Raw genomic sequence first — 12,598 nt, 5'->3', positions numbered from 1 at the left:
GAGGGCTGGGTCAAGGTCTGGCCTGAAGAGGCTGTCTGGCCACAATGTACCACAGCCATTATCCTGTGCTGTGGGGAATTCCTCCTGGGTCCAAACCATCCAGTCTCCCCAGCACCAGCAGGGGGAAAAATGGCAGACTGGAGCTGCGGTGATGGCTGCCACCCCTGCCCTGGGAGTTCAGTTGTCTTAGGCAGCAGGCAGCTGCAGTGATGATGAACACCTCTCCTGCCGGGAATTCGGTAGTTTTAGGCAGTCTCCAGCTGAGTGGTTGCTGAGAATCTGCACAGCTCTATGCTTGGGACCCAAGGCCCTGGTGGTGTGGGCTCACGAGGATCCCCCGGTCACATAGATCAGTGGAAAAAGCGTGGTTTCCCAGACAGGGTAGCACTATCACTCATCACATCTCTTGGCTGGGGGTAGGAGCTCCCCTTGCCCTGTGTGGCTCCCAGGAGGGCTGTCACACTACTCTTCTTTTCCTTGCTGTCCGTGGGTCATGCCAACCACCTAGTCAGTCCCAGTGAGAGAACCTCGATACCTCAGTTGTGGTGCAGGATTCACTCGCCATTTTCATTCTTCTCAGTGGGCGCCTCTGACCGCAGCTGTTTTTAGTCAGCCATCTTGGCCCCTCAAGGAAGATTTCAAGTAGCTGATTGCTCTTCTTACTTAAGGCAGAAGGTAAAACTCAATGTTTTCCACCTACTTTTTCTAAATCATTTATTTTCTTTTTTTGTATAATTTCTGATTATATTTTTCTTTTAATATTTCTTTGAATTTTTTGAATGCAAAAGAAGGGTAACAGATTCTGTAAACAGAAAAGAATTTATTTTTTCTAAGTGGGACATCATCAGATTTACAATGTATTGCTAAATCTTACTCACCCGGGCATCTAGGTCCTTGTACTGAGAATAGAGCCTATACAAAAAAATCTAACTTTCAAGAACAGCCCCTATAATGATTAAGCATTGAAGGATTTTATATCCACTATTGAATTTTTCTTTGCCACTATCTGGTAAAGCAGGACAAGTACTAACCTCAACTGTCCAGAGAGAGTGGGAAGCTAACTCTACTAAGGGGGAGCTATATGAACACCTGACTTTTAGGGTTGCATGCACCGGCAGGGTTGATAAGTTATGCAAAACTACTTGTGTACCCTTCCATACTTTTCTCCGTCCAATGAATTTGACCAACGAGATGGAATTAAGGCAGCAGAAAGTCACCTGGATGACATGGTCACAGCTGCGTTGGGTTAACCCAATCCCTGGGTACTCTCTGACTGTTAGAGAATGGCTTTTCATTTCGTGACCTTCAAGCTCTGAGCCGTTGTTTGTTAAGGGTGCCTTCCTGAATGATTGCAGGTCACCTCTGTGTAGTTTGGAAGGCACTGTCACCCACAGTCCTGGCCAATTTGGACTACACAGTTGTGAATATGATCTGAGTCTCACAGAATAAAGCCCATGGAAGTCATGTGACCACATGATCTACCGGTCTTTCTCTGTGTAAGAAGACGTCTCTTAGCAAGCTTAGGCTTTGCCTGCAATGTATTTCTGGCTCACAGATCTAGTTGAGGGGCAAGAGAGCTCAGTATTTAGGACCCTGGATCCCAGAGCCTGACTGCCTGCACTTGAATTTTCCCTTCACAGTTTATGAGCTGTGTGTCTTTGGGCAAGTAGCTTCAATCCTTTGGTGTCAGTCTCCTCGCCTATAATTTTGTGCTTATTTACCATGTACCAGGAACTATTCGAATGTTAGCTGCACCTATTAGTACTAGTATTATTGTATCCATTAAAACCCAGAGGTGAAAATGGTAAATTCTAAAAGATTCTGGATCTCTTTTTAAAAAATAAGGCAGGGTACAAAGAAGTGTATTTACAAAGATTACAAAAATGATCAATTAGTGTCTCTTGAAGCCAAAAAGTTATTTTTGTTGAGGAAGCACTGGAAACACTCACACACACACACACACATATATATATATAAAAGAGTGGCAGCCCTCCTCAACGCTGTAGCAGGAGCAAGGGCTGCTGGCACCCGGGGCTGGGCCCATCCGGACCTCGCCCCCGCTGCCCTCCGCCGCCTCCAGGCCCTTCCCTCGCCCATCAGGGAGGACAGTGTCGCAGAGAGCTGCGACTCCGGCATGGGCCCACGTGTAGCCTAGGGAAGAAAGGGATCCTGGAATCTCTGTGCCTCATAGAAAAAATAATGCTGCCCTTAGTTGCTCCTGGATGCCAGAAGAGAAAATAAGAAAAGGTTTGCAACTCAGGACCTCGTCTTAGAAAACAGAAGGCTTTATCTTAGAAAGGTGGTAGAACCTTCCACCAAAGTATTAGCAAACCAGATAGGAATTTAAAGGCAAAATTTAGAGTAATTTAATGTTTCTTTGAATGTTCATTCTTTGGAGTCTGAGGCCAGCTGTACCTCACTTTGTGGTGGAGGAAATCCCACACTTGCCATTTGAATGCCTGTGTGGTTGACAAAGAATCGTCCTCCTCTTCCTTTTGAATGATATTTCATTTCATTCTCTTTCGAAATGGAGGTTTGTGCAAAAAAAAAAAAATCTATTAATGAAAATTAACATGAAAAAAATTGACTTGTTCCCAGGCCTGTGTCTAATTAATTTTGTTTTCTTTTCCCATACAGTCATACTGTGCTTTTTTCCCCTTTTAAAACATCACATTTAATTATCCTTGAATAACCTCATAGATTTTAATGCATTAGAGACATTTTTAAAAAACAAGCATTGGATTGTTCACTGTAAGTCTTGTTACATCTTAGATTGATGGCTTAAACTTCCAAGACTTGAAAAATAGTGAAAAAAATTTACTAGAAAAATATTTTGCATATATATTTAGGGCAATAATAATAAATACAATAATTCATTTTTTAAAAATGATTGAGTCTAAAGATAAGTAACACAAGTTCCCTTTAATTTCCTAATATTTGTTCTTCCTTCTAAACTCTAAGCTTCTTTGTGTGCTCTTTCCCCTGAAGGATACTCCTTGGGTGGATTTTATCTTCTAAAGATAAGCCTTTTGTCATTCAAGTCTGGTGTATGTTAGGAAAAAACAGACCAAGTGCAAGCAGAGTGCAAAATAGAAGATAATGGCTACAGTTTCTTTTGTGTTATTTATTGTGATGTGATTGTCATTTGCACAGGCATGATGTCATGGAAGGCCACCAGTCAGAATACCTGTTTTCTTCTGGCACTAAGAAGGTGTATGATCTTGGGCAAATCATTTAATCCCCAAGCCTCTGGGTTTTCCTTTTTTTCTCCCTCTATATAATGAAGACTATATCCAAGAGCTGCCCTGGCACTACTGAGTGCCCCTCATTGTTCATCCCTGAAGACTTGTGTCACGCCCGGTCTCACCTTTGTTCACCATCTGTGCTTGTTAATGCTTATCCTTCCTGGAAAAGAGAAAAATTGAATTTTACCTCTTTGGCAGGGCATTCTGAGGACAAATCTTTTCTAGAAATATTCTTATATATATCAATCAAGGATAAATCTCCAACTTGGATTGAACTCACCGTATGAGTAACATAAAAACACAGCAAAAAAAAAAAAAATGGGTACAATGAGGAGAGAAAACTATAGGCCACTCTTTGCAACACTGATGACTACTGAGAACCTGAAATTTGTCTTACAGAATAGGGAAAGTAGGAAAGTATTCAGTGAGGCTGCCCTAAAAAGGATGGGCAGATAGCACTATGTCCAAATAAATGGGGTATTAAAAAAAAGAAAAAGAAAAAGGAAAGGCACTAGTGGTGTGCATTCCCAGGGAGAAATCAGGAATATTAATTCTGTATCCACAGGACAGGGAGTACTGGGGTTCATTTGACTTGGCCCTTGTGGAGTAGTTGGTGCTCTGGAAGGCAGTTAGTGCGGAACTGAAGCATAGGGCACTGAGTCCTAAAGCCTTGGGAACCAGAGCTTGGAACACCTCTACTTGAGATCTGCAATGTGAGAATGAGGTTGTTTTTTCCAGAAAAGCTGAACCAAGGCCAAGAACACATCCCAGCACTGGGACCACGAGCTGTGGGACTGTGAGCACTCAACTTCACAGGTGGTCCTGAGCAGTAGTGAGAAAGGGAACCACTGGTTCGACTAACTCCCTATGGGGCAGGATTTTTGACATGTAGGGGAAAGAGGGAGCCCTGAGAGAGATTCCAGACTCCCTACTACAAAGATGTCTGAAGTCTAAGATTGTGAAGCAGCTTATACTAGTTACACTCCATAGGACTTAAAGTGCAAATACATCTTTATCTATGACATTTCTACTCCTGGTTTTTCATTTCATGTCCAAGCTGGAATGATTACTGTCTCTTCCACTCCAAAGGCTTTCCTTGAACAATTGAGTGGTGGCTTTTGCACCCCCACCACTTTCCCAACAGGGGACTTTCCTTTGGAGAATTCATCCTTGCCCCGTTCTCAGCCACTCATTCTGGGTGACAATGATTTCATTCCTAGCTCCAGAGGAGGAATATCTCCTGGTCCTCAAAATCATTAATGGTCCTCAAAATTATTAGCTAATTTACATACAGTCATTACAAAGATATTGCAGGTTTAGTCCCAGACAACTACAATTAAGCTAATATCGCATAAAAGTGAGTCACACAATTGTTTTTTGGTTTTGCAGGATATATAAAAGTTATGTTTACACTATATTGTAGCCTATTAAATGTGCAATAGCATTATGTCTAAAAAATGAACACAGCTTAATTTGAAAACACTTTATTGCTAAAACATGCTGATGATCATTGGAGCCTTCGCCAAGTTGTAAGCTTTTTTTCTGGTGGAGGGTCTTCCCTCACTGTTGATGGCTGCTGACTGATCAGGATGGTGGTTGCTGAAGGCTGGGGAAGCTGTGGAATTTTCTTAAAATAAGATGAGGAAGTTTCCTGCATTAATGGACTCTTCTTTTCACAAAAGATTTCTTTTTTGCATGTGAGGCTGTCTGATAGCATTTTACCTACAGTAGAACTATTAAAATTGGAGTAAATTCTCTCAATCCTTGCTACTGCCTTATCAACTAAGTTGATGTAATATTCTAAATGCTTTGTTGTCATTTTAAGTGTTCACAGTATCTTCACCAGCAGTTGACTCCATTTTAAGAAACTACTTTCTTTGCTCATCCATAAGAAGCAAGAACTCATTTGTTCAAGTTTGATTATGAGATTGCAGCAATTCAGTCATATCACAGGCTCCACTTCAAATTCTAGTTTTCTTGAGATTCTCTACCACATCTGAAGTTACTTCCTCCACTGAAGTCTTGAACCCCTCTAAGTCATCCCCGAGGGTTAAAATGCACTTCCAACAAACTCTTGTTAATGTTGATATTTTGACTTTCTCTCATGAATCACGAATGTTCTTAATGGCATTTAGAATGGTGAATCTTTTCCAGAAGGTTTTCAGTGTACTTTGTCTAGATCTATCAGAGGATTCACTATCTATGGCAGCTGTAGCCATAAGAAATGTATTTCATAAATAATAAGACTTGAAAGTCAAAATTACTTCTTGATCCAGGCTTGCTGAAGGAATAATGTGTTAGTAGGCATGAAAAACATCATTAATCTCCTTGTACATCTCCATCAGAGCTCTTGGGTGACCAGGTGCATTGTCAATGAGTGGTAATATTTTGAAAAGATTCTTTTTTTTTTTTTTTCTGGGAAGTAGGTTGCAGCAGTAGACTTAAAATATTCAGTAAACTCTGCTGTAAACAGATGTGCTGTCATCCAGGCTTTGTTGTTCCATTTCTAGGGCATAGGCTAAGTAGATTTAGCATCATTCTTAAAGGCTCTAGGATCTTAAGAAGGGTAAATAAAATTTGGTTTCAACTTAAATTCATCAACTGCATTAGCCCCTGATAGGAGAGTTCAGCCTGTCCTTCAAAGTTTTGAAGCCAGTCATTGACTTCTTTCTTGCTACAAAAGTCTTAGATGGCATTGTTTTCCAATAGCAGGCTGTTTCCTTTACATTGAAAATCTGTTGTTTAGTGTGGCCACTTTCATCAGTGATTTTAGCCAGGTCTTCTGGATAACTTGCTGCAGCTTCTAGATCAAAACTTGCTGCTTCACCTTGTACTTTTATGTTATGGAGATGCCTTCTTTCCTTAAACTTCATGAACAGCCTCCGCTAGCTTCAGTGTGTCACAGTTGCTGGCCCTCTTCTTCCCAGGGCACAGAAATGCTCTCAGCACCACATTGAAGAGGTGGGCATGGGGGTGGGGGTGAGGATGGGGGTCGGGGAGTGAGGAAGGGTTGTCATCAGTGATTCAAGAATATTTTTCCACACTTTGGGAGGCCAAGGCAGGCGGATCACTTGAGGTCAGGAGTTCAAGACCAGCCTGGCCAACATGGTGAAATCCTGTCTCCACTAAAAATGCAAAAATTACCTGGGGGTGGTGGCGGGCGCCTGTAGTCCCAGCTACTAGGGAGGCTAAGGCAGGAGAATCGCTGGAGCTCAGGAGGTGGAGGTTGCAGTGAGCTGAGACTGTGCTACTGCACTCCAGCCGGGGCAACAAGAGTGAAACTCCATCTCAAAAAAAAAAATTGTTTTCTTAAAAAAGAAAAAGAATGTTTTTCCTACCTCTTCAGTGCCTCTTTCAGTATATGAAGTTAAAACCAGGTAATGTGAGTGCTCAGCTGATTTTTGGTTCTTACAAAGGTGCTTTTTTCCTGTAGATAGTTGTTTAATTGGTGTCCTTGAAGCGGGGATGGTTGGTGGAGTCTTCTATTCTGCCATCTTGCTTCACCCCTCCTAGCTTCAAACTTTTCTTCTCTAGCCTCCTCATCTCTCTCAGTCTTCACAAAATTGAAGAGAGTGAGGGCTTTGCTCTGGTCTAAGGTACAGAGGCCTATCTTGGCTTTTGACATGCCTTCCTCACTAGTTTAATCATTTCTAGCTTTTGATTTAAAGTGACAGACTTGCCACTCTTCTTTTCCCTTGAACACTTACAGGCTGTGGGAGGGTTATTAGTTGGTCTAATTTCAATACTGTTCTTTCTCAGGGAATTGGGAGGCCCAAGGAGAGGGAGAGAGATGGGGGGAACAGCTGGTTGGAGCAGTCAGAACACACACAACATTTAAGTACACCATTTTGTGTGGCTGTGGTTCGTGGTCCCCCAAACAATTACAATGATAACACCAAAGATCACTGAACACAGACCACTATAACAGATATAATAATAATGAAAACATTTGAAATATTGGGAGAATTACCCAAATATGATACAGAAACACAAAGTGAGCACATGCTGTTGGGAAAATGTCACCAGTAGACTTGCTCCACTCAGGGTTGCCACAGACCTTCAGGTTGTAAGAAACACAGTATCTCTGAAGCACAGTAAAGCAAAGCACCGTAAGACAAAGTCTGCCTGTACATGTATTACTAATGTGCATTGTATGAATCATCGTAATAATAAAATGGCATTTGTTCCTTTGAAATATGCCTTGAATGTGCATGTCCTCAGGCATTATCTAATGAACCATGTTAATCATTTCATTCAAGTTTTTTTTTTTGGCAGGTACAAACAACCAGCATTGTATTTTTGGTAATAAAATCAAAACAGTGGATTCTGGAGTTAGAGTGAGGACAAGTTTTAGAAGAGTGTAAAGGACCACGATCAAGTGCATCCTAGAAACAGCTTGTTCCATCTAAAATGTTTAATTCCACTAAAGATCTTGATGGTAAGCCCAGGAGTTTCACTGAAGACCATTTGCCTAAGAGAAATATATAACCACTGATGCTTAAAATGTGTCTTGGTTGTTTGTTTACAATTTTATGATCATAGAAGCATTGCTTTCTGGGGCATTTACATTATTTCAATAAGCAAAACCTATATATGAATGTATTTTAATTTTAATAGAAATATAATTTTTCCTGCTAAAAAGAGGGGGGTTAAATGAGTGATTTTGTGTTTTCAGTTGCTTTGGGTATTAAAGTATTATTTTTTCTACACATATTATTCTATGCTATGAAATTTATAGCAACATTGTAAAGGGAAGCAAAGCAGAATAATTTTTTTTTTCTAACTGCAGGAAAAATTTCTGTGCCTCCTAATAAGTGCCTCTCTGATGAGCAAGCACACTCTTTACTGTGTGTTCAGGCATTCCTTTGTCTTTTATTACTAGAAGCATGTTGCACTTGTTTCCATGCGACGTTGATCCAATTAGGAGCAATGCTGAGATTGACTATAATGAGAGGAGTACATCAACTCAAATATCTGACTATTATATTTTCTATTTAATGTTTATGAACTGTCTAAAGGCCCTATGGTTACTCTGCTACTTACAAGGATTTCCCATTGCCTTTATGGCAGATATGAAAGAAACATATAAAGTTCATGAGCGAGATTCTGGTATGAGTGTATTATGCTGATTGATCTGCTTAAGAATTCGTAAAAACAATAGAAAAGCATAATTTGTCAAGGAGAAATAATTAGTTTTGACTGATAAAATATGCAGTTTGGTTCCTTGGTAGTTTTACAGGGATCTTTCACACATTAACAAATATAAAAGTGATGTCTTATTGAAATGTCTTTTCAAGAGTTGACAGAGAAAGTAAAATTATTTATCAAATATGTCCACCTCTTGCTAGAAAAAGAGAGGAGAGTCTTGTATAGTTCTTGGTCTCAAAAGACTTTACAGTTTGCTAAACTAAGAGTATGTTGAGCAGAGATTTCTGAGTAGTGTTATGCCATATCTATTCTATCAACATACACCTGCTAGTTCACATGTTTTTCAAATTGATTTTTTTTTGGGGGAAAGAAAATATTTAATCACAGTCTGTGTATCTTTCAGAAGACATGAACAATCATGACTTTGGAATTTTAAGAACTGAACCTCCAAATCTATCTAAAAACATAATTTTAGCCCTATTGACTTGAAATGTTTAGTTCCATTTTACCAATTTCTTTCCAGTGAGACTATTTCTAAGGCTCGCTAAACATATCAACAGTTTTGTGGGGATGCTGTGGTAGGAACTTGGCTATCTGGCTAATACGCCCCTTTCATTCAAAATTCCTGTTACACATGGAATTTCTCCCTGTTGCTTAGAGATCACCTTTCCCCCAAATTTAGATATGTGTATTTCAGCAATGGCTTTCCAGTAGTTTATCCATTGTTTGTTCCATATCAAAGGTAGTAGAGCATTATTTTTATACGGTTTAGTTATAATAATGCATGAGTAGAAAAAAACTGAAATTCAAAGTATCTTGTGTTATCTTTTTGGCTTCCATCTCCTATACTGCTGGGGTGAACTCTGCCAAGTTTTAAAGGGATGTGAACATTCCAGAAGGCCAATCAAAAGCATCTAGCTGGGATAAGTTATTCAATTTCCATTCTGTATTTCTTCCCTAAGGACAACTATTTGGAACCACTTTATTCTCTATTAGTGAAGGCATTACGTGTTATTCGACTCAGCAGCAGAAGGAGGTTTTCTGCAGTGTCCAGTAGTTGCAGGCACTTCGGGCTGTGCATACATCCTGGTGGACATAATAAAGCACTTCACTTGATGGTGTTTGGGTTGTGCACAGCTACGTGATGCCAGCTGGTTTCAAGGCACCAATTGCTTACAACTTAGCAATTTATCCTGTAGCAAAAGAAACTGGAATAATGTGGTCTCCAAGTAAAACGGCACTGATTTTTAACCCATCTTGACACTTTTTACCCAGGAGGAAGCTATTCTCATAATTATGCAATAATACATTTTAACTCAAATTTTATACAATTGTATGCATGTCTGGATATTGCCTATTGCCTAAGCCATTAGCTACTGTGGATGCATGAATGCTGTACACTTTTTGTAAGTCAATTTGCTTTATTAATATTAAAATCGCAGATTGTCATGTTTCTTAAATTGAATACAGAGGGAATGCTCAGTAAGGAAACAGTCTGACATATTCAGGACATTCATAAGCCACTAAAGTGAATTTTCTGCCTATAAGAGAAATTTTATGGGATAAGGTTATGTTAACCCCAGAAGATTGTTGTTAGATAACTTGGCTTCATGATAAGTACCATGACTTGGAGACGTTGGTTGGAAGCCATGCCTCATAGACTGAAATTCTTCCTTGTATTTAGCACGCCATAAAGGAGTGAGAATATGCTAGACAGATTATTCAGTGTAAGTCAATACATATGAGAAGAGATTAAGAAGCATCTGTAAGTATTCTTGTGTGGAACAATTTGTTCAACAAATATTTTATCAGTGACTACTATGTGCCCTGCACTGTAGCAATAATTAGGCAGAAGATGATGAATAAGTTATTTAAGGAGCTGATAGTCTATGGAGAATGAGAGTAAACACCTTCCAAAGGCTGTGATTAGTCCTGCCATAGGAGGGAACTGATAGGAGAAGCATTTATCCTGATATTTAAGGATTCAACACTTCTCTTTCTTGGTGGCTTTGAAACATGGTGGCTGATTCTTTGACCCTCTTTCCCTTGAGCTTGGAGCTAAGCCCTTCTCCTTGAACCTGGAGGTGCTGTGACTGCTTTAATCCACACAATAAGGGGGAAGCCCAAGGCATCTCTGAAGGCCAGGCAACACTGCTCTATTTGCTGGAACACTCACTCCTGGAGCAGTAGGCCCCTTGTAAGAGTCCAGCCCCCGGAGGCTGTGGGTGGGCACTCCTGGCAATGGTCCTGTGAGGTCAGTCTTTCCTTCTTATCATCTGAGCCCCTAGACACCAATGGGCAGAGAACAGCCACCCTACTGTGTTTTGTCCAAATTCCTGACCTACACTGTGGTTAACTGTGTAGCAGCAGGTCATTTGAACACATGTGGTGAGGAGGCCATAGCTAAGGATGAACTGGAAGTCACCATGAGGAGGATGGGGCGGTATTCTGGGCAGGAGCAGCCTTGGCCAAAGCTGGCGGTGAGAGTGCACATGTGCCTGTGTTCCAAGAGGGCTTTTGCTTTTCTTGCTCTGGATTGGATTATGACATCAGAGGATAATATCTGGAAATGGATATTGAATAGCAAGGATCAATGAGTTCGTGAGCTCATGTGAGCAGCAGATATCAGGCACCTCTTGCCAGGCTGGACCACCCTGTTTCTCCCCTGTGGTAACATATTTTCCTTGGCCTTTTCCTGTCTCTGGCAGGGTAGGAGCCCAGGAAACATGTTTTATGTGAATGCAGTTATGCCACTGAAGAGTTTCCACTAAAAGGAAGGTTATGAGTAGAAGAAAGTAAAAATCAGAAAAATTGTAAAGTGAATCAATATCAAGAGACCAAACCCTACAACTGGACGAAGAGCCACGGGAAAACTGAGGTGTTCCCAGAAAGCTGATGTATCTCCATGCATTGTGAAGTCCCAGCTGATGGTGACTTCGCAGCCCAAAGCCATTTGAATCAGCAGCTCTTTTATGATGGCTGCAAGTTTACTCATTCTTTAACACTTGCAAACAACATGGCAGAAAATAGCAAATCAAGGCCACATGCATGCATGTGCGCCAAGCATCTACACAAGGCACACAAAGTCAGAGAAATAAGAGGCTGCATGCTTCCTCTCCGCTTTTTCACTGTAGAAAACATTCGTCACAAAGGAAACAGCCTTCTGATTTATAGAGGTCTCCTTTCCACAATGCATGCCTATAATATAAATATTTTATTTAACCTATGTGCTGTAGACCCCTAAGTTTTTGTGACACCCAAAATTCATGTGTTAAAATCCTAACCCCAATGTGTTAGTATCGGCAGGTCCTCTGGGAAATGATTAGGTCATGAAGATGGAGGTCTCATTAGGTCATAAAGGTGGAACCCTCATGAATGGGGTTGGTGTTCTATGAAAGAGGCCCCAGAGGCCAGGTGCAGTGGTTCACACCTGTAATCCCAGCACCCTGGGAGGCCGAGGCAGGTGGATCACCTGAGGTCAGGAGTTCGAGACCAGCCTGGCCAACATGGCAAGACCCTGTCTCTACTAAAAATACAAAAATTAGCCAGGCATGGTTGTGCACACCTGTAATTCCAGCTACTCGGGAAGCTGAGGCAGGAGAATCCCTTGAACCTGGGAGACGGAGGTTGCAATGAGCTGAGATCGCGCCACAGCACTCCAGCCTGGGTGACAAGAGTGAAACTCCATCTCAAAAAAAAAAAAAAAAAAAAAAGAAAAGAAAAGAAAAAGAAAAAGAAAGAGGCCCCAGAGAGCTCCCTCAGCTATCCATTATTTGAAGACACTGTAAGATGCGTTTATAAGCTACTCAGCGTATGGTAGTAGTTTATTACAGCAGCCCAAACTGACTGAGAAACTCCCCATCCATGAGTTTTAAAGGTTTCTCATTGTAGGATAAACAAGTATGCGCACTGTCTCCTAGAACAGTGTTTCTTGACCTGGGGTTCTTGGAAACCCATATGGGAATTTACATATGTATTTTTGGGTGTCTGAGAATTTTCTTTGAGAAAATATATATTATTTCATTTTGGTGGCATTTTCAGCTATCTACATTAGTGTCCCTCAAACTTTATTGTGCATGCAAATCACTGGGTTATACAGCCTGTTTGGAATCAGCAGGTCCTAGGAGGGCCTGAGGCTCTGCACTTCTTTTTTTTTAAGACAGAGTTTCACTGTATTGCCTGGGCTGAAGTGCAGCAGCGTGATC

General features: G+C 40.9%; 1 protein-coding gene across 7 annotated transcripts in view; it reads left to right on the top strand.

Annotated features, from left to right (window-relative positions):
• The window catches only part of PXDNL (peroxidasin like), a 489,869-nt gene that overhangs the window by 16,685 nt on the left and 460,586 nt on the right, over window positions 1-12,598 (top strand). Inside the window, exon 2 of one of the 7 annotated variants that reach the window (XM_047421367.1) lies at window positions 7,521-7,683. The exons of the other annotated variants lie outside the window; for them this stretch is intronic. The gene's annotated coding sequence lies outside the window, so the exon portion shown is untranslated. The remainder of the gene's footprint in view (window positions 1-7,520; window positions 7,684-12,598) is intronic. 7 annotated transcript variants of the gene reach the window in all.

The sequence above is a fragment of the Homo sapiens genome, chromosome 8 (genome assembly GCF_000001405.40).
Source record: "Homo sapiens chromosome 8, GRCh38.p14 Primary Assembly".
Lineage (NCBI taxonomy): Eukaryota > Metazoa > Chordata > Mammalia > Primates > Hominidae > Homo > Homo sapiens.
Note: the sequence above shows the minus strand (reverse complement) of the source record. Positions and strands in the feature narration are given on the sequence as shown.